Source organism: Homo sapiens, chromosome 2 (genome assembly GCF_000001405.40).
Source record: "Homo sapiens chromosome 2, GRCh38.p14 Primary Assembly".
Taxonomy (NCBI): domain Eukaryota; kingdom Metazoa; phylum Chordata; class Mammalia; order Primates; family Hominidae; genus Homo; species Homo sapiens.
In genome coordinates, this window is record NC_000002.12 from 29,200,336 (window position 1) to 29,226,665 (window position 26,330).

The 26,330-nt window shown below is 47.2% G+C and overlaps 1 protein-coding gene across 2 annotated transcripts in view; it reads right to left on the bottom strand.

Moving 5' to 3' along the window:
- Positions 1-26,330, bottom strand: part of ALK (ALK receptor tyrosine kinase) — a 728,813-nt gene that overhangs the window by 7,562 nt on the left and 694,921 nt on the right. Inside the window, exons 19-26 of one of the 2 annotated variants that reach the window (NM_004304.5) lie at positions 25,126-25,230; positions 23,007-23,193; positions 22,182-22,272; positions 22,009-22,073; positions 20,371-20,500; positions 13,649-13,746; positions 9,451-9,543; positions 6,836-6,937 (exon numbers count right to left, since the gene is read on the bottom strand). In NM_004304.5, coding sequence (NP_004295.2) covers positions 6,836-6,937; positions 9,451-9,543; positions 13,649-13,746; positions 20,371-20,500; positions 22,009-22,073; positions 22,182-22,272; positions 23,007-23,193; positions 25,126-25,230 — 871 coding nt within the window. Of the gene's footprint in view, positions 1-6,835; positions 6,938-9,450; positions 9,544-13,648; positions 13,747-20,370; positions 20,501-22,008; positions 22,074-22,181; positions 22,273-23,006; positions 23,489-25,125; positions 25,231-26,330 lie in introns of those variants that run through there. The other variant, NM_001353765.2, reaches the window with a different exon arrangement.

Consider the following 26,330-nt stretch of genomic DNA (forward strand, 5'->3'; position numbering starts at 1 on the left):
CTGCACATGAATATTTATTTTCTTAGTTTAGAGTTCAAGGGAGCAAGAAGTAGTATTGGTCATAGAACTTTGACAATTTTGAATAAGTAGGATTTTCATATTTGCAAACAATACCAGATACCTAGTTAAATTTGAGTTCCAGATAAGCAACACATAGTTTTTTTAGTATATGTATGCTCCAATATTTATACTAAAAAACTATTTGCTGTGCATCTGAAATTCAATTTCACTGACCATTTTGTATTTTATCTAGAAACCCTACAGATGAGGCAAATCTATATTTTGTATGCCAGATGGTTCTTTCATCACCTATAAGCCTGCCCTAAACAGGAGCGACAAAAGCCCAAAGCTTTGCACCAGAGCATTTAAAATCAAATATACATACGTATATATGTATATATATACGTATATATATACGTATATATGTATATATATACGTATATATATGTATATACATGTATACATATATATGTGTGTATATACATATATACGTATATATATGTGTGTGTATATAGATACGTATATATATGTGTATATATATATTTTTAAACTTCACTTTCTTTTGGTATTAAACTTGCTCTGCCTGGAATGATTGATAGAAATAATAGCAAACATTATTGCTGATTAAACTGTTAAACATTTGAATCGATGAAGATAATCTGATAAAAGATTTTAAAATATCAAGCTGTTCTGTATCAGCCTTTAAAAGCTACATTTTTCTCCTTAATCATAACCTGAAAGGAGGTTATGATTAAAGAAAAAAAAAAACATTGTGGAAGATGGTCTCCAGGTGTGATAGAGGTTATGCTCTTAGGAAAAATGGGAGCCAAAAATTAATATCTTTAAATGTCCATCCAGTGGATTCCAAGATCTCATACACCAAGATCTCATACAGTTCTCTGATCTTTAGTTTCATCTATCAGATGCCCACTCATTAGCTTCACTGGCCTATTTTAATAGGCAACTCAAATTTAACATGCCCAAACGGAACTCCTTCTGAACCCACACCATCTCCTCTTTCATTCTTTCCCAACTCAGCAGCACCTCTGGTTATGCATTTGTTCAAGCCCAAAACCCAGGAGTCATCCTTGACTCCGTTATCCCACACCCCTCCACTTCCCATCCAACAGTCAGCAGTCCTGTTAACTCTACATTCAAGATAGATCTTGAGGCCGGGCGCTGTGGCTCATGCCTGTAATCTCAGCATTTTGGGGTCTGAGGTGGGCGGATCACTTGAGGTCAGGAGTTCGAGACCAGCCTGGCCAACGTGGTGAAATCCCGTCTCTACTAAAAATACAAAAATTAGCTGGGTGTGGTAGCACGCGTCTGTAATCCCAGCTACTTGGGAGGCTGAAGTGAGAGGATTGTTTCAACCTAGGAGGCGGAGGTTGCAGTGAGCTGAGATGGCGCCACTGTACTCCAGCCGGGGCGACAGAATGACAGTCTAAAAAAAAAAAAAAAAATCTTGAATCTGACTACTTTGCGCTACCTCCACTGCCACCACCAAGCCACATCGCTCTCCTGTTTCTCTCAGCTAGCAATGTGCAGGATTTTCTTAACTGGTTTCTTTCTTCACTTACCCACCTCTAGTGTAAATTCAGTGGCAGAGAGATTTTTTTTATAAAGCAAAGATCATATCACACTCCTGCTTACAACCCTTCAACCGGCATCCCATGGTGTTTAGAATAAAATCCACATCCCCCATCTGAGTTCCAAGGCCGTCTGTGTTCTGACCCATCCCTTCCACCCCTATTGGCCCTGGGCTCCCTTAGCTCCGACCATCAGGACTTGATTTCATTCCTCAGCAAGCAAGCTAGGCTCCTTCCTGCCTCTGGCTGTTCACACTGGCTTTTCCTGCAGTCTGGAAAGCCTTTCTCTCAGATCTTTCCAAGGCCTGCCCTTTCTTTCAGGTATTGAAGTTACCTCCGGTAAGGAGCTTCCCCCCGCCCACCTTTGCCAAAAAAACCCCAGCTCCTCCTCTTTCTGCCTGATTGTCTTAGAGCACTTCCTAATCCTTGCAGCTATATAATTTGTTTAAGCATTCCAATTGTGAAACAGTCAAAACTTTAAAAAGGAACAGAGTTATCTATGTATCTAGATGTTAATCTTTTGTCTTATTCTTGTCAGCTCTCCCTTTCTTTATGAAGACTTAGAGACAGAAAGACCCCACCTCCCTCTCTCTGCTCTCCTGAAGTTAGACTGTATCCTACAATTGTATGTTTCACATTTTTAAACAATGCGTGAAAGCGCAAACGATACTGTGTTATAGACATTTTTTATATTGTAAAGTTATACATAAATGATATCCTACTCCTTTTTGTAATTTGCTTTTTCCCCACTGAACACTGTTTTTGAGATTTATCTATGTTGATATATGTAGGTTGTCTTCTTTTATACTGCGGAATAGTTTTCCATGATGTAAGTAAACCACAGTTAATTTTTCCATCTCCTAGTTGAGGGGTAGTTGGGTTGGGTTTTGTTTTTATTTTTGTTTTTGTTTTGCTTTTTCTCTATTGTAAACAATGTTGCAAGTGAACATCCAGCGCCCAAGTCTATTTGTGTCATCTTCTCTCTAATGTATTTACTTAAAAATAGGAGCGTTAGGTCACAGGATGTGTGTGTGTTCAGGACAATTACTTAATTGCTTAAGTTATTCTCTGTCTCTGGATCCCCTGGGTTGCTGGTGCTCTAACTTCCCTGCATATCAGAATCATCTGATAAAACACAGATTGCAGAGTCCCACCCCTAGAGTTTCTGTTGTATTAGGCCTGAGGTGGGGGCCGAGGATTCGCAGTTCCCAGGTGGTGCTGATGGACCACACTTAGAGATCCACTGGGTTAGGTTAAAACCAAATCTCACTGGTGTAAAAACAACAAAGGCTCTTGCTCTCATTATCTAATGCTGGTCAGAAAGGCAGCTCTGACTATTTGTGGCCGCACCATCTTATGACATGATCTCAGCTCCAGGCTTTCAAAATGTGGAGGTTTTTCATTCTTGCATTGTCTTCTTATGTTTCCTGTGGTGCTGTTAAGCAATTTGATGCCATTTGGATTCCTTATCTTTTATCTCTATTATTTTTTACTATTAATTTTTAAATTTTCTTTGTGGAAGTTTGCAGGATCTTTATCACCATTGGCCTGAGGATGTGCCTTTTTTTTTTTTTTTTTTTTTTTTTTTGTGAGACAGAGTCTTGCTCTGTCGCCCAGGCTACAGTAATCTCAACTCACTGCAACCTCCGCCTCCCAGGTTCAAGCAATTCTCTGGCCTCATCCTCCCAAGTAGCTGGGATTACAGGCACCCGCCACCACGCCCAGCTAATTTTTGTATTTTTAGTAGAGACGGGTTTCACCATCTTGGCCAGGCTGGTCTCGAACTCCTGACCTCATGATCCACCTGCCTCGGTCTCCCAAAGTGCTGGGATTTCAGGTGTGAGCCACTGCGCCCGGCCGAGGATATGCCCTTTTTCCCCATGGTGATTGGCACTTGGTGAATTCTTTCATTCTGGAAATTTATGTCCTGTGCTAGGAAATCTTGAATGATTGCTCTGCTGTCTTTATTCTCTTCATTTCCTCTGTTCCTTCTCTCTGGGACTCCTATTTTGTCAGCTAAATTGGACCTTTTGGTCTACCCCTTAATTTTTTAAATAAAAAATTATTATATTTTCCTATATTTTCCATCTCTTTTTAGGTTTATTTTCTGGAAGGTTTATTTAGCTTCACACTCCATCCTTTTCATTGCATTTCTGTCATCAAATTTTTAAATAATAAGATTTTTTTCTTAGAACAGTTCAAACTTGGAAGAAACTATGAATACACGGAGTTCTCCTATACCTCACACTTGATCCCTGCTACTGTTAGCATCACACTAGTGCGATACACGTGTTACAATTAATGAACCACAGTTAAGGCATTATTGACTAAAGCCCATACTTCATTCAGATTTCCTTAGTTTTCACTGAATCTCTGTTTTCTATTCCAGAGTCCTACTAGGATATCGCATTACATTTAATTGTCTTGTTTCTTTGGGCTTCTCTTGACTATGACAACACCTCCGACTTTCCTCGTTTTTTATGACCTTGACAGGTTTGAGAATCTGGTCAGGGATTTTGTAGAATATTCCTCAATTGGGATTTGTCTGTTTTTCTCATGATTAGACTGTGGTTACGGGATGTGGGGAGGAAGAAGACCACAGAGGTAAAGTACCATTTTCATCACATCAGGGGAACATACTGGCAACATGACCCAGCCCTGTTGTTATTACTATTATTATTTGAGATGGAGTTTCGCTCTTGTCACCCAGGCTGGAGTGCAGTTGCACAATCTCAGCTCACTACAACCTCCACCTCCCAGGTTCAAGCATTTCTCCTGCCTCAGCCTCCTGAGTAGCTGGGTTTACAGGGGCCTACCACCATGCCCAGCTAAATTTTGTGTTTTTAGTAGAGATGTGTTTCACCATGTTGGCAAGGCTAGTCTCGAACTTCTGACCTCAGGTGATCCGCCCACCTTGGCCTCCCAAAGAGCTGGGATTACAGGCATGAGCTACTGTGCTTGGCCCCTAGACTTATCACTATTGAGGTTGACCTTGAGCACCTGGCTGAGGTCGTTATTTGTCAGGTCTCTCCACTGTGAAGTTTCTCTTTTCCCCTCTGACCCAGCCCTGTACTCTTTGGAAGAAAGTGAGAACACGCAGCCCACACAGGCTTCAGGGTAGCCATGCCTATCTCCTTGAGGCCACCTCTTATCACACTTGGATTTCCTTATCCTCCTAAGAGTATTGTTTAAAATAACCTTTTGTCCTCCATTTATGGTTGCAATAGTTTTTCTGATCTTTTGGAGGATATTATAGTTTTTTAGAAAGTTTTCCTAAACTTTCTACATGTTTCTTCAAGTTCCTTTTTATATGTGTGTTTTCTTCAGATTAGAATATTTTCTTAAATGTTTGTTGATTCTTGGCTGTCTGTTCATATTTTAAGACTGGGATATTAAGAAGCCAGTAGAAAGTTCTGTGTAACACATTGGCTGGTGGGTAGCTTGCTTGCTTGTTTCACTAGCTGTAATTTTCTGTGACTGTTGTAAAAAACAAAACCAACCAACCAACCAAACAACCACATGCTTGGTGGCTTAAAACAACATAAGTTCATTCTCTGACAGTTCTGAAGGCCGGACATCTGAAACTGGTATCACAGGACTGAAATCAAGGCATCAGCAGGGCTGTGTCCCTTCTGGAGGCTCTAGGGGATAATCTGTTCCCTCCTTCTTCTGGCTTCTGGTGGCTGCGGGACCTCCTTGACTTGGGGCCGCATCTCCAGTCTCAGCCTCTGTGCTCACACTCCCTCTTCTTTTGTGTGTGTGAAATCTCCTGGTCCTTCTCTCTTATAAGGATACTTGCGATGGCATTTAGGGCCCACCTAGATGATCCAGGACAGCTGCCCCACTCTAGTATCCTCAACTTCATCACATCTGCAAAGACCCATTTTCCTTATAAGGCAACAATTCTGGGCCCCTGGGATTAGGACCTGATACCCTCGGGCGGCCATTACTCAGCCCACTGCACCTGTGCCCCACTTGGCAGTACTGTATCTGTAATTTTCTCTTCATCGGTCCTCCAAAGAGAAATTCTCTGATGATCTGCCCAGTTGCCAGTATTCTTGGTGCTGAGGGGCCAGTGGGGGCCAGGACCAGGGAGACTTCAGTTCAGTCTCTTCAGAGAGAGAGCCCAAGTCTTGTGCTGATGGTAGATAAGGGACAGCCAGCAAGCTTCAGGGGTGAGGGGCTCAGCCACAGGATTTACTTATTCCTTAAACAGACCTTTCATGAATTTTCCTGTTTGCTATACCTCCCCTTCTTTTCTTCCTCCCTCCCTCCCTTTCTTCTCTCTCCTCTCTTCTCTGCCCCTCCCTTCTACCTCCTCTCCCCTCCCTTTCTTTCTTTCTCTCTCTCGTTCCCTCCCTCCCTCTCTCTCCCCCTCTCTTGCTTGCCCAGGCTGGAGTGGAGTGGCATGATCATAGCTCACTGCAGCCTTGACTTCCTGGGCTCTAGTGAACCTCCCATCCAAGCTTCCAGAGTAGCTGGGACCACATGCGTGCACCACCACACCTGGCTAATTTTAAAATTTATGGTAGAGATGGGGCCTTGCTATGCTACCCAGGCTGGTCTTGAACTCCTGGGCTCGAGCAGTCCTCCAGCTTCAGCCTCCCAAAGTATTGGGATTACAGGCATGAGCAACCGTGCCTGGCCTACACCCCTACTTTCAATTTCTGGACCTTTCTGGGGCTCTCAGGCAGAGGGAACCAGCCCTGTTTCTGGATCTGGACTTGGTTTAGAGATCCATTTTCTAATCTTCTCAGTAAGGTACCACTTGTTCATGACTTCCCAGTTTCCAAAATTTTGTCATTGTTGTGTTCTTGCAGGGTTTAATGCAACTAAAAGACTCCCTTTATTGGTGTGTGTGTGTGTGTGTGTGTGTATGTATGTGTACTTTGTGAGGGGCATGTGTTCAATCTGCCATTTAAAATTACATGTGGCTGTTAATGTGTGGTCCCAGCCAGCAATGGCAGCATCACTCTGGGACTTGTTAGAAATGCAAATTCTCAGCTAGATCCCAGACCTTCTGAATCATAAATTCCCAGGGTAGGGTCCAATAATCTGAATTTTAACAAGTCTTTATGAATTCTGATAGATGCTCACGTTTGAGAACCACTGTTGTCGGGTGTATTGATTCTTCTCTTTTCCCTCCCTACTAACACACGGGCTCCCGGCTTAGAGTATAGAGTCCTTTGGCCCAGGAGCACCACCTTATGGCTGCAGGGATACCTGGAGGATGATGGCTGACTTACCATGTGTCTGTTTTAGAAGTGAATATTCCTTCCATGAAGGCCTCTGGGGGCATCCACTTAACTGGCAGCATGGCACAGCCTCCCTTTCTATAGTAGCTCGCCCTGTGGGGAAGGAGAGGAAAACCAAACTAGGATCTGGAGATGGCATTAAGCATCTGCCCTGCTGGGAAAGTTGAGAAAGTGGCAACAATATAGTCTACCCATTAAAGGTCTGAAATTAACCATGAGTCCTTGGCGGTTCAGGAGGAGAGCAGGGGCACACAGATCATTTAGTTAAGAACTTTGGTGTCATTTAATAGAAGACAAAACAAACCACGAGAGGCATGAGAGGAATGATCTATGCAATGACTAAGATACCTGCTAGCAGATGTTTAGCTTTCTCTGTTGGGTTTTGTTTATTATAGCTCACAATGAATAACATTACTCCAACCTTATAAGTATAGTGTGTTTCTGATGATCTGCAGTAATGCAAGATCCAAAATGGGAGAACTGAGAGCAGGGCTTGTGTCTTAATCATTTTGGATCCTCTGACACTCACACAGCATTTAGTTCAGTATAGGCAATCAACCAGTAATCTAGACAGCTGTGTGGATGCTGCCTCCCATGACACACCCAGACAAAAGAACACAGGGCTAGGTGTGGAGTTGGCTTACAAGGTAGATGAGTTAATTTATTAGTTTTCATCAGTAATGTCATTAATGCAACTCACTGCTAAAAACCAATAAATTAACTCATCTGCCTGTTAGGCCAATTGCATGTCTAGCCTGGTGTTCTCCTGTGTGAGTGTGTTACAGGAAGCAGCTTCCTGCCAGCTGTCGACATTAATTAATTACCTCAATAAATAAGTACTGAATATTTAGTATGTATCAGGTACTCTGCCATGTGCTGAGGACATAAATAGGTCAGTCTCTCTCTCCCAAGGATATTGTTTAGTGGAAGAAATGGATATATATGCATTGCAATATAGAAAACACAGTAATGCAGGTATGTGCAAGGCTCAGTGACACAAATGAAGAATTGATTCATTCTACTTGAGGCAGGGGTAGGGAAAGCTTCACAGAAGGGCACTGATGGAGCTGAGGAGAAAAGACGCTCTCCCAGAAGACCATTCCTGACCCGTGCCATTGTACAAAGTGCAGAGTAGGTGGGGAATGAAGGACTGTAGGTAACTTAGGGTGGTTGAAGCCTGGAGCTGGGAGCTGTCAGAGCTGAGCCTGGGAAGGAAAAGTCAGATAACAGAGGGCTCGAGGAGTCATGCTGCAGCATTTGTATTTGAAATGAGAGGCAGTCCCAGGGTATTCTGAGGAGGGAGAGGAAGGAACGCTGAGCTTGTGGGTAGTGTTAGAAGGCGAAGTGGAGCAGAGGAGAGGAGTGCGACGGATAGCAGTGGTAGACACTCCAGAGACGTCTTTACTACATCTTCCACATGCTGCTGCCCCGTGGTAACATGATGGCCTCAGCATGCTCACCCCTGTGGGGACTGTTACCATGTTTGATGGAGGCCTTCAGGGGTGGTGTCTGGATCAGTCTCACTTATTCCCCAAAGAGTTAAAGCTCCATATAACGATTGCTCCTCTCTCTACCCCTGTGAGTTAGGGAAGGGGTCATCCTGTGCAAGGAGGGACTTGCTGAGCTCACATAGCAAGTCAGTGTTGTAAATAATCAGGGAAAAAAAGGAACTAGAGGCTAGGAAGAGAAGAGTGAGAAAAAGTACAATTAAAGTAGTATTAGCTTTTAAAACTGAAAAAAAAAATAATTTTTAAAATGTAGTCTTGAAAATGTGACAGGGAAAAAAAAAATAAGGCTGCGCTAAGTACTGATGGGTTCTGCGCTATACTCCACATCTCCTGGGGTGGCTAAAGCTGAGCAATGAGCCAGGCCCTGCATCCTGCCCGACCTGGGATGCAGATGCCTGCGGTGTTAGAAGCCATAGCCACTTAGAATTCCTGAGTACTGAGGAGTTGAGGAAGTTCAATAAAGCTCACTTTGAAGGTCTTTCCACATCAAGTATCCAAGTTATCCCATGTCTCAGAGCATGGCCAGATTACAGTTGGAACCGATGGACAACCTAATTAAGAACTTGGTGTTGGCTGGGCATGGAGGCTCACACCTGTAATCCCAGCACTTTGGGAAGCTGAGGCGGGCAGATCACCTGAGGTTGGGAGTTTGAGGCCAGCCTGACCAACATGGAGAAACCTCGTCTCTACTAAAAATACAAAAAATTAGCCAGGCATGGTGGTGCATGCCTGTAATCCCAGCTACTCGAGAAGCTGAGGCAGGAAAATCGCTTGAACCCGGGAGGCAGAGGTTGTGGTGAGCCGAGTTCGTGCCATGGCACTCCAGCCTGGGCAACAAGAGCGAAACTCCGTCTCAAAAAAAAAAAAAAAAAAAAAGCTTGGTGTCAATTACTGCAGGAAGTGTGATCCCAGATTTAGGCCTTCGGGCATGGTCACTAATTAAGGTTTCCCATAGCCTGAAAAGGAACTTAGTGAAATTTTAGGTAGAAAGTTGACAGGGTACCAGGAGATGATGTAAGGGACAAGCAGCCACACCCCATTCTTGAGGGGCTGAGGTGGAAGAGACAGGCCCGGAGGGGTGAGGCAGTCTTTACTCACCTGTAGATGTCTCGGGCCATCCCGAAGTCTCCAATCTTGGCCACTCTTCCAGGGCCTGGACAGGTCAAGAGGCAGTTTCTGGCAGCAATGTCTCTGGGAAGAAAGGAAATGCATTTCCTAATTTTATCCCTAGGAAGATGAGTGTACAACGGCCATCACTAGGATTTTATCTCCAAGCTGAAGTTTAAATAGTTCCTTCCCTTCCCTATATTTCCTTTAGTATAGTATACTTCAGTGTGAGAGAAACAGCCTTAACAATTCTAGGCCTCACAACTAAGAGAGAAATGGAAAAGGATTAGGGGAAATGATTAAAAATGTTTAATGGGGCAACCATAATGAAATGCATCATACTAGGAACTAGGATTTATTAGCCTTTTACTAGGTGCTAAGTGTTGTTGTAAGTGCTTCATATCTAACTCTCACAACAACCTTATAAGACACAAGGTGCTATTACTGTCCTCATTTTATTTTTTAAAAAGTAAGCTAAAAGTAGATAACATAGGGCCATAAGGAATGCTATCTGGCCTTAGGCAGATTTGGTACAAACCACGGGCTGGTTTCTGCCAGTTGTTTGAAAAAGTGTTTTAGAACAGCATGACTTCCCTGAAATCAAATTCAAGTAGATTAAGATATTCACAAATATTTCTAGTTTTTTGTTTTGTTTTGAGACAGAGTCTTGCTCTGTTACCCAGGCTGGAGTGCAGTGGTGCGATCTTGGCTCACTGCAACCTCTGCCTCCCGGGTTCAAGCAATTCTCCTATTTCAGCCTCCCAAGTAGCTGGGGTTACAGGCATGCAGCACCACACCTGGCTAATTTTTTGTATTTTTAGTAGAGACAGGGTTTCACCAAGTTGGCCAGGCTGGTCTTGAACTCCTGACCTCAGGTGATCCACCTGCCTCGGCCTCCCAAAGTTATTATTATTAATTTTTAAAATAAGCCATTATGGTTCTTTTGTCCATGATTTTATCTAAAGCCCTTGCTAAGCTACATGGCTGAAGAATCGCTTCTTCCAGGTGATAAAGTTGTCATCTCTGCTGTTGACTATAGATGACCTGCTTTCCTGTAGCCTGCCTCTGAGGCATGGTCAACCGCTGTCCAAGACTCATCAGCTTCTACTCTCTGCTTACCATTCTGGTCATGCATGTAGGAATGAAGGATACAGCCAGAAGAAGTCTGGGATGGGTCTCTAATAATATTAAGGTCCTGTGCAGGAAAAAACAAGATGTACTTAGGGAGCACAGCTGCTGTTTTCATGTTCAACTGGTTTCATGATGGTTCTGATCCTAGGTTGAGAAAGGACTTAGAGAATCAACTGGCTACTAGGATACTATTTAAAAAAAAGGATCTTGATTGGGGATCATGACTGAGGGTACAAGAATAACGGGTTCAGGTAGGAGATTCATGTTGTTAATGCTGCTGACCTGATCCAGAAGGTTTAAGTTGAATTTTGAGGTGGTGTATAAAATGCCCCCATAAAACCATAAAAGCATAACACATATGACATCAAAAAGAAAGAAAAATAGTTGGCTGTATAGCCGTTAATTCTCAAGAGAAATATAGCAAAGTAGACCAGGAACAATATTTATGGCTCCAGAAAAGTCTTTACACTGATGTGTATGGAATGGTTGTTTTAAAAAGTGATCGTGAATTTAATGGCAAGAAGGTAAATGCAGTACATAGAATACATCAAGAGTTGGGAGAGTGACACGTCATTTATGAAATGGCAATAAACCATGTCCAAAGGAAAAAGATCCAATTTTTTTAAAAAAATGGAAGCATGTGGATCTGGTGAGGAAGTTCCACTCTGAATTCCAAAAGCGTAAAAGTATACATGTGTGGAAGTCCATGAATCTTAAGAGCAGATAAAGGGTGGAGGGAGAGAGAGAATTCGAGGCAACTCTGTTGTGGGTATGTACCACAGACCTCTTAGCTAGTTAGAACATGTAAAAGACGTTTTTTCCATACAGATGACCAAATTGCCCCAGAAGGACAGTTTCTGCCAGAAGTTTTCTTTTGCTTAAAACAGATCATCTGATACCTTCTTGATTTGGTGTTTGACAATTTAATTTCTTAAAAAGGAGAAAAGAGCAATAAATGATTACTCTGGGATCTAATTCTAACCTTCAGTAACTATTTCCAGATATGGAAGTGACAGGAGTCTTGAGGGAATGTAATCCTGTTAACATCATAGCAACAGAGCATTGGGTATCATCAAAATGTCTTGTGGCTGTAGGAAAGGAGATGTCAAAAGGTCAGAGGACAAATGGAAATGATCCCTCAGCCAGAGAATCTGTATGCTATGGTGACCAACGTGGGCAGAGATAAAAAACAAAAGACAAGTAGAAAAGATCCCAGTGCTAAGTGAAGGAAGACATCTGGCCACCAGGTGACGCGGGTTGCTCTCATAGGAGTCTAGACTTAAAGCACATGGACAAAGATGGAAAGATGACTCTAACCAAGGACGACTTCAAAAGGAGCACAGCTTGGTCTTGACTGAGCAATGGAATGGCAAAGCCCAGAGCTGAGATTTATGGAAAGTTCTGGGTACAATGCAAAGGACAAGAACAGGACTGGGGAGCGGGGAAAGGGCTGAAAAACTACCTTAAAAAAAAGAACAGAACTGATAGACTCTTAGAAGGAGCAGATGGTAAAGCTAGGCCCAGCTCCTTTTTGGCTTCCATTATTTCTATGAAGCAGTATGACCTGCAAGTTGGAAAGGGTTAGAAGCTGGAGGGAGAACTGAAGGCTAAAAGGATGAAGTGACAGGAAGAGGATAAGCTCTTCTGAGAGTTGACTGCCTCATGTTAGGAGTGACTTTGGAACTTAGGCAAGTGTACTTCCTGACCTCTCATTTCCCCATTTTTATTAGGGAGAAAGCATAACTTGTTATATATTTGCATGATTTTCTATTTCTTTGTTTTTTCTTTTTTTTTCTTTGAGATGCAGTTTTGCTCTTGTTGCCCAGGCTGGAGTGCAATGGCACGATCTCAGCTCACTGCAACCTCCACCTCCTGGGTTCAAGTGATTCTCCTGCCTCACCTCCCGAGTAGCTGGGATTATAGGCGTCCCCCACCATGCCTGGCTAATTTTGTATTTTTAGTAGACATGGGGTTGCTCCATGTTGGTCAGGCTGGTCTCGAACTCCCAACCTCATGTGATTCTCCCGCCTCAGCCTCCCAAAGTGCTGGGATTACAGGCATGATACTTTTCTATTTCTAAGCTCTTACAACATCTCTCATTTTCTCTTTTGTACTTACATATTTTAATTATTATGAACATGCCTTAAACTCTTAGAAGACATGTGTTAATAAATTATTGTGAGTTCACCAGGTTATTATTTACTACATTAGAGGCAAATCATTAAGGAAGAGCTTTGCAAAGAGCCTGATGATCTGTTTTACTTTTCTGATTTCAAGCTGTCAGCTGAGAAAGTCATCAGCTTTCACAAGGAAAGACATACATGATATATGATGTTCACAGCATGATGTCCCAGTCTATACAGCTTTTAAACACAAGAATGATTGTAATAGAAGAAACTAAGTATAGAAGCAATGAAAATCATCTTTATGCTTCATTTCAGAGTATTTTAGAAAAAATTAATGTATCCAACAAACATTGTGTCTATGCCAAGTATACAAAGATGACTAAAACAGCATCCTTGCCTATAAGCCACCCATTGTCAAAAATGCAATTCCTTAACTTCCCCATAAGGAGCCCAGTTTTCTATGGCAGGGGGAAGCCTTAAAGTGATATAGGACTTGAACATTCAAGATACAGGCAGGGGTCCTCACAGGAGGTTAAGAATAACTTATAGGTCTCCAGCCCTGGCGAGGATATTTTATGACACTTGTTTTATGTAAGGGGCAAGTGAATCCCTGATAGAATAAGTTACCATCTCAAAGACAAAGCTGAAGGGGCCAGGAGCCATCGCTCATGCCTGAAATCCTAGCATTTCAGGAGGCCAAGGTGGGAGGATTACTGGAGCCCAGAAATTCGAGACCAGCCTGGGCAACAAAGTGAGACCCTGTCTCTCACAAAAAAACAATAAAACAAAGCTGAATCATCCTACATCCAAATGGCTCTGGAGGGAGACCTAGTATTCTGCTCTGAAGGGGGAAATGTGAGCCCTTGAGATCTGCGGGGAAGCACACAGATCAGCGACAGGATGACAGGAAGAGCACAGTCACTTTGACTCACCGGTGGATGAAGTGGTTTTCCTCCAAATACTGACAGCCACAGGCAATGTCCCGAGCCACGTGCAGAAGGTCCAGCATGGCCAGGGAGGAGGGCTGGCTCTGTGGGGAGACAGAAGCGGGCCACTGACGAGGAGCTTGTCAGTGAGAGGAGGGAAATCTGAAATGCTGGCTTCCAGTGCTCACAAGGAGGCAGACCGTGAACATGCAGCTACACCAGGGGCCTCGGCCCTGGCTGCACATTAGAAATCACCTGGAGGCATTTGAAAGAATTTGGATGCCTGGGCCCCAACCCAGACCTCTCTGGGTGGGCATAGTATTTGTACATTTGAAGTCTTCCCAGGTAATATGATGCCAGCGTGCAGCGAAGGCTCGGAACACCCAGACTCCGGGAAGCTAGGTTGGAGCAGGTGTTCTTTCCCTTTTAATTTATTGTGCACATTCTCTCACCCCAATCTTCATAAGCATTTGAATACCCCCAATTTATAAACAAGTTTGTGAGGAAACCACAGGGGAATAGGGGAGTTTTAAAAATCCTCGATTTAAATGTCTTAAAATATTTCTTAAAACTAATTTTCTTCAAGCAGATCCAGCGCTAAAATTGATTGAAAAAGAAAAGCTTTTGGGAAATGCTGGGCAATTATGAGCTATCTCAAGCTTTTCCGCATGAGGTCTCTTTCATTCAAAAGGAGATGTCACCTCCCTACCCCTCTGGGGACATCTCATCTTGGCTTCCTGGACAGCCTTGCTGAGCACAATGAAGCCTTTCCAGAAGGCGACATCCCATCTTGGCCTCTCTTTTAATTCCTAAATCCCTGACGTGTGCGGCAGCTCAGCTTCATGCAGTGTCCGAGTCACTGTGTTGTTCCATGTTGATTTCACCATTTCCCCAAGTCACGGTGATGAAGTTCCAGAGACAGGGATCTCACCCTCCCACAGCACCCAGCACAATGCTGGACACACACTGGGGGTTCAGTGAGTGTTGCGTGGCTGATTGGTTGATTATAGCTGCAGGCCAGGATTTACCTGGAGGAGTATGATTCACATACCTCCCCAAGAAAGCACACGCAGGTAGGGGGTCAAATCAATCCCCTTTAGGGCCGCCCCAAGAAAGGTGTTTGTTTAAGCTGGTGACTCTTGAGCACCTGGGCAAACTCCCTGCAGGAAATTCATGCTTGTAGCTCTCCTATTTTGCTCTTCTTTTGAAGGGTGGGCTGAGGACTGGGCTCTTTAGTCCTGAGGTGCCCACAGGGAAGTCACCCAGCCAGGCGGCAGCGGTGGAACCAGGTGGGGTCTGGGTGCAGGCTTAGCCTGCTGGAGGTTTTTCTCTGCCATAGATCAGGGCCTCCCCAGGACTCCCTGGAGCAATGGCCTGGGTCTGGAGGAGGTAGACAGAGTCTTGCTTCTCTAGGCCGTGCTTCAGTTCTTGGGGAGACAACTGAGAGTGGATAGTTCCCCTACCGGTGCCTTACATGCCCCAGAGCACATACATGATCTGCTGTGTGGTAGGTAGGGAAGAGAAGGTGATCTCCATATTAACGATGAGAAGGCTGAGGACTCAGAGAGGCTACCTGACTCACCCCAGGTCACACAGCTAATAAGCGTGGAGCCAAAGCTGCCCGGAGATGGGCTTTAAGGATCTGGGTTGGGAGAGGCATCCTCCCTCTTCCCTGGGATCCAAGGAGTTAAAATGGAAGAGAGAGTGCCTGAAGGGGGTTGGAGCGTATGTATGTGACTACAGTGCCCAATGCACACCAAATGCAGAATACAGCACCCACAAACGGCAAACACCACACTTCAGTGGCCCATCGAGCTGACCCGGGCTCCACCCTGCTGGCCTCTTCCAGGCCATGTAGTCTGGGGCTGGCTGCTCAGCCTCTCAGAGCCAGTTTCATCTGTGACAGTGGCGTGGGACTGTCGGTCTCCCTGGGTTGTCAGGAGCACCCACGCCAGCAGCCTCGGGCAGTGCCTCATCAGGGGACCCGAGGTATTGAGGGGTTTCCACATGGGAGACCAGGGGGACTCAGAAAATGGCTCCTTGTGTTTGGCTTATCCAGAGGCCTCGTTAGGGGCAGAGGGGGTACCTCTGCACAGGCGGGCAGCAGAGACTCTGATCATTCCCATCAAGCAGCACTCATGCCTGCATCATCCCTCCTGCGGCAAAGAGTTGGAATCAGGATTTTATCCCCATCTGCCGCTGGAGTGCAGCACTTCCTCGGACCCAGCTGTTCTTCTCATGGCCATGGTCGTGGGCCTTGCTGCAGGTGCTCCCCATGGTGGGTTTGCAGGATGGAAGAGCGAAATATCTTTTTGCTCTTCAGGAGCATGCTCTCTGTCCCTACCAGAGGAGGCCCTGGCCCTAGCTGTGCTAGGGCCTTGAGGAAGATTTTCTTCCTACCAGTCTCTTTGTGTCTTAGCATCCATCACTCAGGATGCGAGGGCCATAGATGTCTCGGAAGCCCCAGGAGCCTGGAGCGCTGTGGGGACTAAATCTCTCTGGGCATTAACTCACGGGCTAGGCTGTTATGGCCCCCTGTCCTTGGCTGCTCAGAGCAGATTAACTGCTCCACTAATCAGTGTGCACAGGGCAGACAGTCAGCAAGCGTGGGTTATGGGGGGTGTCTGGTGTGTACGTGTCTGTGGTGTGCGTGTGTATTGTGTATATGTGCGTATGGTGTGTGTGTTTTGTGTATGTGTTGTGTATATGTGGGGTGTATGGTGTGTGTGGTGGATGTCTGTGGTGTGTATATGTGTTTGTGTTTTGTGTACGTGTGTGGTTTGTGTAGGATGTGTGAGGTGTGTGTGGTGTGTATGTGTGGGGGTGTATGTGGCATATATGTGTGTGGTGTGTATATGTGCAGTATATATGGTGTGTGTTGTATGTGTGTGGTGTGTGCGTGGCATGTGTGATTGGTTGTGAGTATATGTGGTATATGTCTTTATGGTGTGTGGGGGGTGTGTGTGTGGCATGTGATGTGTGTGTGGTGTGTGCGTGGTGTGTGTGTGGCATGTGAGGTGTGTGTGGTGTGTGCGTGAGTGTATGTGGTATGTGTCTGGGGGCATGTGTGTGGTGTGTGTTGTATGTGTATGTGTAGTGTATGTAAGTGGTATATGTCTATGTGGTGTGTCTGTGGGGGGGGGGCGTGTGTGGTGTGTGTGTGTGTGTGTGTAGTGTATGTGTTGTGTATATGTCTGTGTGTTGTGTACATGTGTGGTGTTTTGTGTGTGTTGCATGTTGCATAGATGTGTTTTATGTCTGTAGTGTGTGATGTACGTGTGTGGTGTGTTTTTTGTGTGGTGCATGTCTGTGGTGTGTGTGATGTGTGTATATATGCATGTGGTGTGTGTTTTTTGTGTGTAGCATGTGTTGTGCGTGTGTGGTGTGTGTCTGGGAGGGGCTGTGTGCATGGGTGGGGTGGGGTGGGAGGAGCTGTGGACATTGGCAAACCCGATGCTGAATCTAGACTCGCAGAGCATTGCCAGCCAGTGCACCCTGGGACCAAGTGATTTTTTCATCTGTACCCATGCATTTCGTTTCCACAACAGGCACGGCTGACCTGGGCATCCACTCTGTCTACCGCGTCTGCACATCCGTTCTGTCATTTCATGTTTGCACAGATGTTGTCTGAGGCCAGAGCCTTTTATCCCATCTCAAAGGGTCTTTGATCCTGATCTAAGGTCTGTGGAGCCACTGAGCTACAGAGCTGGCAGGAAGTGAGGACAGAGACCTCTGATTCTGCACCTCAAGCCTGGTTCCTGCACACAGTAGGTCATCAGGGAACCCCTGGGAGTATCAGGAGTATCAGGGTGATTCCAACAAGCGAATCAGGTGGAATTCAGGCCTCTGAAGTCCAAGTTTCAGAATCTGGAGGCACACCTCCGCCTACTTTCTCTTCATGGCACATGTTTCTCCATCCCTCATGTCCCTTGGCCGATTCACCCTCCTTTATCCTGTGTAGGATTTACTGATATTAGTCCTGTCTGTCTGCTGGAAATCACATTCCTTTCTCACAGTCCACTGAATCCTCATCTTACAAAGTTGGATTTTGTGGCCCCGAGAATCCATGCAGGAAGCCCAGCTAAGCCCCAGGGAAGCTGCTGCCACAAACACATCTGCATTGGTGGCTCTAGAGGGCCACAATTGGACATTTGAAATCGGCCAAGGATCCCAGGAAGGACAGCTCACCTGGGCCTGGTGGGTGTATGGGAGGCGGGGAGGACCATGACTGGGGTGCTGCCTGGGTGTGCCTGGTTGGCAACGAGAGCCACACAGAGGAAAAGCGGGGCCAAGGGTTGAAAGAGCAGATTGGGTGAGGGTGGGACTCTGGCCCTGAGAAGTGGCTCTTCCAAGGACAGGCCCCCTCCCCGTTCTGGGGGTCCCTCAGGTAGTGCCTGCTGTTAGAGGGTAGAACTTGGGGACAGGCTCCTGTTCTGACTCTCCGAGGGTGGCACTCTGGGGTGGGGGTAGTGAGAGAGAGAGAATGATCTGCCTTTCCTTGCTGGACTATGTTCTTTGTAATAATATTGGAATCATCTTTCATCATCAAAGGAGAGAGATGCCTTTGTCTTTGAGAGAGGGAGAGAGAAAGGGGGAGGGGAGAGAGGGAGAGATAGAGACACACCACTCCTCACTCCTGCCATCTCCTGCCCCCGAAGTCCTTGAACTTGCCAAGTGCTGGGCTCCCAGACTCCCTTTGCAAAGTCCCTCTCCTTTGCATGCATACAACTTTCTCTCCTTAAGCCTCAGGAAGGTCCAGTGGGAGAACCAGGGCTGTGCCTCTTCCCAAAGTGTGATGCCACGTGTCCCCCACTGACAGCAGTGCTGCTGAGAATCTCAGGGCATGAGGGCCAAAGGCTCTGCCTTCCTAGGTGGTGGTGGGAAAGCCAGTGAATCTGATGCCTGTACCATGGCAGAGATGCCTGGATGCCTGGCAGTGTTGGCTCTAAGGACACAACCTCATCTTGATAGTTTACAGCTTCCCAGAGGGGACCACTGGATAAGCAGTAAGTTGGAGAGGGCACTGAATCAAGAGTCACAAGGCCTGAGTTCTAGTCCCAGCTCTTCCACTTCCTGTGTGGCCATGGCAAGTCCCGTAATCTCTCTGGGCCACCGTTTTCTCATCCATAGAATTGGGGAGAGACCTGCATTGTCTGTTCATAGGGTGGTGTTGAGAAATGTGAAAGGTCTGAGGAGGATGCCAGCTGATGAGGGCTCTTATGAGACAGACAGGTGTAGTCTTTATCTCCCTGCTCCCTGCCCAGTCCTCCTGCCAGGTATGCTCAGGTGCACACAAATTCCTCTTCTCAAGGGGTAAGACAGTATTCTTCTTAGATACTGAGATGCGTCACCCAGTGGCTAAGGTGAAGGTATTTTACATGGATCCTGACTGAAGGTGGAGATCAGAATAGCTATGACCTTGCAGGGCTTCCATCACCACTTTGAGTCCCTTTGAGCAGTGTGGTCAGGTTGGGCTTTCTGGAACCACTGGCTGTCAGTCTTCCCTCCTTTCCTGGGAGCGGGAGGGTGGCCGCTGCTTTTACTGTGCAAGTCTTCCTTGTGATCCCCATAGTACAGTGGTTCGTTGAGGAAGCCTGGATCCTAACCTTGGGGCCTGCTCAGCTCCAGTTCCTGGTATCCGGGGCCTGCTGAAGACCTGCAGACCCAAGCATGGGCAGCTGGGCTCTGGGTCTGCCCAGGGTGCTATGTTTAATAATTTAGAACCACCTTTGAGATGTTCTAGTCCAATCCTCAGATCTCACCTGTGAGGATACCCAGGTTAAAGGTTTAAGACTGCCCTAAACTACACGGGTGTCTAATGGCCAAGTTGGAGCTGGAGCTTGGGATTCCTGGGTCCACCCTGGGTATCTTCACTTCCCAAGCTCTGTTAACCATAAGATGTGTGTAGCACCTTCCTAAATATACGGTTGGAATGTCCAGGTATTATTATCCCTACTTGAGACGTGAGGACTGTGGGCTCTGAATGAGTAGCTGCAGAGTGACCTGCCCAGGTCAGTTGCTTGAGTAGTTACATGGCTGTCATGAAAGTTCTCCTCTGTGTTTGTCTCTAGTTTGGTTTTCCAGAGTCAGCAGGCCATGAGAATGGATCCAGGCTATAGAATGTGGATATGGTTTGGATTTGTGTCCCTGCCCAAATCTTACGTTGAATTGTAATCCCTAGTGTTGGAGGAGGGGCCTGGTGGGAGGTGATTGGACCATGGGTGGATTTCCCCCTTGCTATTCTCATGATAGTGAGTGAGTTCTCATGAGACCTGGTTGTTTAAAAGTGTACAGCGCTTCCCCCTTCATTCTGCTCCTGCCATGTAAGACGTGCCTCCTTCCCCTTCACCTTCTGCAATGATTGTAAGTTTCCTGAGGCCTCCCCAACCATGCTTCCTGTACAGCCTGCAGAACTATGAGCCACTTAAATCTCTTTTCTTTGTAAATTACTCAGAGTCAGGTAGTTCTTATATAAATGCAAGAATGGACTAATACAAATGCATTGCAGGAGCCTTGCACAAGCTCCTTGGGGCTGGGGCTCAGCCATCATCTACCTCTATCTTCTGTCCATTCTCTTCCAGCCAGTCAGTCACCCCCCTGTCCAAGCCTAAAGTTGACACCCTGGGTTCCATCGAGGAACTTGCTACCCAGGCTGCCCACTCTTGCTCCTTCCATCCTTGCTCCTGTCCTTGGCACAACAACTGCAGCAAAGACTGGTTCTCACTCACCGGGCGAGGGCGGGTCTCTCGGAGGAAGGACTTGAGGTCTCCCCCCGCCATGAGCTCCAGCAGGATGAACCGGGGCAGGGATTGCAGGCTCACCCCAATGCAGCGAACAATGTTCTGGTGGTTGAATTTGCTGCAGAGCAGAGAGGGATGTAACCAAAATTAACTGAGCTGAGTCTGGGCAAATCTTAAACTGGGAGGAACAGGATACAAAGTTACATTTTCAGCAGCTACAATGTATAAAGGCATTCTGTAAACATGGGCAGCAGGGGTCCCGGGCTGAGCCTAAACCCAGAATCTTGCTGGTGAGCAGGTGGGAAGAACCACAGCAGGCTCCACAGGAGTTCCATTTGCAGGAGAGTGGCTGGAGCTGTGAGGATGTTGCTCAGGCACTTGGGTGAGGAAGTGTCTCAGGGGGCAGGAGAGTGTCTTTCTCAGATACTGGTGCGTGGACTGGGTGCTAGAATTCATGGTCGATTTCTCCCAGGAAGGCCTCAGGCAGAAGGTGAAGCAAAACAACTGCTTCCAAGAGAGACTGGGTGAGACTTGCCAAGTGACAGCGTGTGAAACAGAGCCAGCAAAAGGGGATGGCCTCACGAGTCTATCAGTTTCCCGTGGATTCCTCATGGGAGGGACCAAGACTTGGGTTTTCTTGTTAACATGATCCCTTTAGGACACACAGGGCAGTAGGGCCTAGGAATTCCACATGGGCCAACATGCATGTGTGTGCATACACACATGTACACACAGCCCCCCAAGTGTTGAAAGACTGGGTGATTAGACACCAACATAATAATGGTTAGTTACCACCAAGTAGTGAGATTTGAGTGATATGGGTCTTCTTCAATATAATCTCATACTTGCCAAGTTTTATTCATAATCAGGAATTATATGTATCATCAGAAAATAAATGTTATTTTGTGTGTCCTCCTGTGGTTCCAGACCTCACAGCCATATCACTCACACTGCCTGGCCTTGTTACCCCTGCCACTTCCACCAAGGGGACATCCCAGTCTGCCCCCACCTGTCAGGACGTTCAGAGTCTTCCCAGTGTGACAGGGGGCCATGAGCCCCCACCTGATCTTGAGGTCAAATATCTGCCCCCTCCTTGAGGGGATCTGCTGTCACAGCGGACGCCCTCAGGAGCCATAGGCACTGAGACTCTCAGCTTAAATCCAGATCTTGGAGCCTCAAGTCAAAAGGTGCAGCCAGCTGAGACTCAGCCCTGCTGATGGGAGCCTAGGATGGGGTGGCCTCCCATCATATTAGAAGCACAATTACTGGGATTGGTGAAGGGTCTTGGAGGGAGATTATATCTTGTACTGTCAAAGTCTAGCATGCTCCATTTCTTAAGAAAAAGTGAGGGAAGAAGAACCAGTGGATAACAGCAGGGATACTGGTTGCAGACAGTGACATCGGTGGGATTATTAGGCCACACAGACTTTGTTTCTGAAACAACCATCAAGGGTTGTTCCATTCTGGTAAGAAGTGTCTAGAATGTTTGGGAGTCTCCTACTGGAGAAAAGGGGACATGCTAGGGACAACACGATTTCCCTTGGAGATATCGATCTGTTAGAAACCTCTCCAGGTTCTTTGGGGGCAGAGGGGAGTTGGGGTGAGGGTGTCTCTCTGTGGCTTTACCTGATGATCAGGGCTTCCATGAGGAAATCCAGTTCGTCCTGTTCAGAGCACACTTCAGGCAGCGTCTGGGCAGAGAAGGGGAGGGTGGGGAGGAGGAGGAGGCTGTGAGCTGAGAACTGCAGCCTACAGAGTCCGCAAGCCAAGGGCAGGCTCAAGAGTGAGCCACTTCTTACCTTCACAGCCACTTGCAGGGGGCTTGGGTCGTTGGGCATTCCGGACACCTGGCCTTCATACACCTCCCCAAAGGCGCCATGGCCCAGACCCCTGTGCAAAGGAGAAGACAAGAGGAGACAGAGTCAAACAGGCCACAATAATGAGGCAGCTGGGGGTCCTGAGCCTGGGCGTCACATTTAGTGGACAAACACGAGAGGCGGGGGTAACATACACACTCAGGAGTAATACCCTCAACATGGCTTTGCTATGCAATCTCGGGCTTCCAGTTCTTCACCTGAAAACTGGTAAGAAGGATTCCAACCAGGGACTCATGACAATGGTCAAATGTTTATTCATTCAATCAGTAGTTATTGAGTCTCTGATATTTGCCAGGGACACAGGGGTGCATAAGCCATGGCTTTTCCCCGGGGGAGGTTCATGCTCCTTGGGGAGAGACAGATCACTGTGGGTACTGGCTGGGGAGTATTTCCAGTGAGTGACAGAGGAAGGCGCAGTTGCTCTAGATGCTCAGAGGAGGGGCCCTTTGCTCCCCTGCTCCCCTGGAGGGAAGGGGAGCCAGGTAGACTTGGAGAGAGCACATCTGAATGAATTTTGAGGAGAGCCCTGGTTCTCCTCTCATTGTATAAACTCCATAAACTATGGGAGTTAATGTAAGCCAACATACATGGCCCTGAATGTCAAGGCTTGTCCTCCTAGGAGGGCTAGGGGTGCCCATAGGGAGGGCTCTGCCGGCCTTTTGTGGCTAGAGGAGTCTGCGGTGCTGTGATAACATTCAGCCCCTACACTGCACCCCTCTCCTCCCAGGACGGCAGCAGGGCGCTCACCGAATGAGGGTGATGTTTTTCCGCGGCACCTCCTTCAGGTCACTGATGGAGGAGGTCTTGCCAGCAAAGCAGTAGTTGGGGTTGTAGTCGGTCATGATGGTCGAGGTGCGGAGCTTGCTCAGCTTGTACTCAGGGCTCTGCAGCTCCATCTGCATGGCTTGCAGCTCCTGGTGCTTCCGGCGGTACACTGCAGGTGGGTGGTCAGCTGCAACATGGCCTGGCAGCCTGGCCCTTGAAGCACTACACAGGCCACTTCCTACAGGAAGCCTCCCTGGATCTCCATATCCTCCCCTGAGCTCTGAACCTTTCCATCATACTTAGAAATACTAATAAAATGATTAAAGAAGGTGTGTCTTTAATTGAAGCATGATTTAAAGTAAATGCAAAGCTAAAAATCAGATATATGGAAAATAATTATTTGTATTATATAGGGCAGAGTCATGTTAGTCTGGTTCCTCCAAGAAGCAGACTGGAGATGGGATTAGACCCAATATGGTCTGCAGATTTTATTAGAAGAAATGCCCATGAGAGGAAATGGGGAGGGAGCCAGGGAAGGCTGGGTGAACCAGCAGACTGTGTTGCAAGTATAACCCCACGTGAACGAGGGAGGGAGGGAAGGTTGGGTGGAAGCACCCTGGGTGCCATGGAGCCTAAGGAAGTTTCAGCAAGGCCCTAAGGGGTTCTGGAGCCAAAGTCAGTCATCAGAGGAGTCCCATGACTCCCAGGAATTGGCCTGCCTTAGTATTTCTGCTGTGCTCAGCCATTGGGTAGGGCAGCTTCAGTGCAATCACAGCAGTGGATTTGAGGGTGCAGCTGGGATCTTGGTCAGTTGTGTTTCCTATAGTTGGAGAACTGCCAAGCCACAGAGTTGGAGAAGAGCCACATCATGAAAAGATCTCTGAATTGGTGTCTGGGGATCTGTGCTCTAATTCCGCCTCTTGTTACTTACAAGCTGAGCCATGAGGACCAGGTCACAGGACCTCTTTGGACTGCAGTTTCCCTCTCTGTAGGCAGGGATGGTAACTCCTGCCCTGTTTCCCTAACCACTGCCACTCCCCACCCTCTAGGGTTGTCAATGAAATGAATTCACCAACATAAAATGGTTTTGAAAAATCCTAAAGAGCTCTACCAATGTGAGTGACCATTATCACTCCTACATGTGAGGATGTTCTGGAAGGCAAACTCCATGGAAGCCAGAACAAAATTGTGATTCAGTGGGTAGATTCTGTGTGTAAAGCCCAGCCCCCCAACACATGGGCCAGGGCAAATGAGTCACCCGCTATGTGCTCAGTTCCCTCCTCTATGCAATGGACCGACCGTGATCAGATTAGGGTTACCTGAGGATCGAATGAATTGAAATGTGTAAATTGCCGAGCACGTAGTAACCATGCAACAAGTGTTAGCTCCTATTATCCTGTCCCTTTGAGGGATGGCACCATATGGGGACACAGTGTGTGCTGCCATCTCCCTTCTACCGGCAGATCCCTTTGCCTGCAGGGGCCTGGCCTGCGAGGGCTCTCAAGAGCCTTTCCCTCTGCCCTTTTCAAGCCTCTGCCCATCTGTCCTGGGCATGTCTCTGCCAGCAGTAAGAGCTGGTTGGGACCACACTGAGTTCTCTGTGACCTGCAGGTCAGCTCACCTTGGCTCACAGGCTGAACAGAAATATACTCAGAAACCGATTTTCCTATCTCTCTGCCTGGAGGGTGGTGGAGGGCTGGTTTGGGGAAGAGTGGGCTAGTGCATTACATAGGGTGGGAGCCAAACAGGAGCTGCGCCGGTGGAAGCATGTGGGAGCTAGAAGTGACGTCTAGGGGTGGGGGCGAGCTTTCACCATCGTGATGGACACTGAAGGAGCTCCCCACCCCCTGATCAGCCAGGAGGATACACACGGGGCTGAGGTGCAGAATCAGGGGCTCCTCAGGGAACTGCAGCTGCTCTGGTGGGGGGAAGGTTGGGAGCTTCCGTTTTGGCTTGGCCTGGGCTGCCCTAATCACCACCCCACCCAATTCCAGGGACTAGCATAACGAAGTGACACCTTGGCACCTGTGGCACAGCCTGAGACACTATTCAGTCCTGCCTTCCTGCCCCCTTGGGAGTCCCTGGGGCTCTGTGCACTCACCAATCATGATGCCGGAGAAAGCCAGGACCAGGGCGGCCACGAGGGCAGAGGTCACCACAGAGAGGATCAGCGAGAGTGGCAGGTGTGGCTCCGGGGTGGGTGACACTGGAAGACAGGTCCCACTGGGGTATTGACAACCACACCAGGTCTCCTTTGAGTTGGTCCCAAGTCAGAAATAACCTCCCCCACTGAGACAAAAACTACTTGCTCCTTCCCATCGCTGGAGACCTTGTCACACTTTTCTTTTCAGGGGACCATGAGCAGGACCAGACTCATCCCGATTTGACAGGCTTTTAGCAGTAGCTTTTGGGTGAAGGGAAATTTAACAGGGATGAATATCAGTGGCGGGATGTTGGTTTGAAACATGAGCTGCACAACTATGGGGTGAGGATGGAAGGTGAAACGAAAGTGGATCTGGAAGAGATGTGGGGGCCGCAGGTGACCAAACAACAGGGTGCGCTGTAAGTAACACCCTCTGAGGCTAAGTTACTTCCTTGTGGCCCTGAGGCACTGGGCTCACAGTGGGGAGGGGTCCTGTGCCCTCTGCTGGCCAGACCACACGGAGGTATCGTGCTTGGTACTGGACACTACATTTCAAAAGGGACATCGATAGTGGAACACATGCAGAAGAGGGACACTGGTGGGGCGGGGGAAGAGACACAAAACTGCATCTTGTATGAACTGCTGCAAACAAATGGGTTATTTAGTCTGAAGAAGAGTTAAAGGAGGAGGATGGGGCCAGGTGCGGTGGCTCACACCTGTAATCCCAGCACTTTGGGAGGCCGAGGCGGGTGAATCACCTGAGGTCAGGAGTTTGAGACCAGCCTGGCCAAAAGGTGAAACCCTGTCTCTACTGAAAATATGAAAATTAGCCTGGCATGGTGGTGGGCGCCTGTAGTCCCAGCTACTCAGGAGGCTGAGGCAGAAGAATTGTTTGAACCTGGGAAGCGGAGGTTGCAGTGAGCCGAGACCACACCATTGCATTCCAGCCTGGGCAACAACAGTGAAACTCCGCCTCAAAAAAAAAAAAAAAAAAAAAAAAGAGGAGGAGAATGGGAGCACTGTCTTCAAACACTGCACATGCACAGCTGCTGCTGTAAGGAAACCTAGGAGAGGAAGGTTAAGGCAACAGGTCCCCAGCTCTGAAACTGCCCAAGGGAACAGAGAACCTTAGGAGCAGTAAGATCCCTGTCACTGGGCATGTT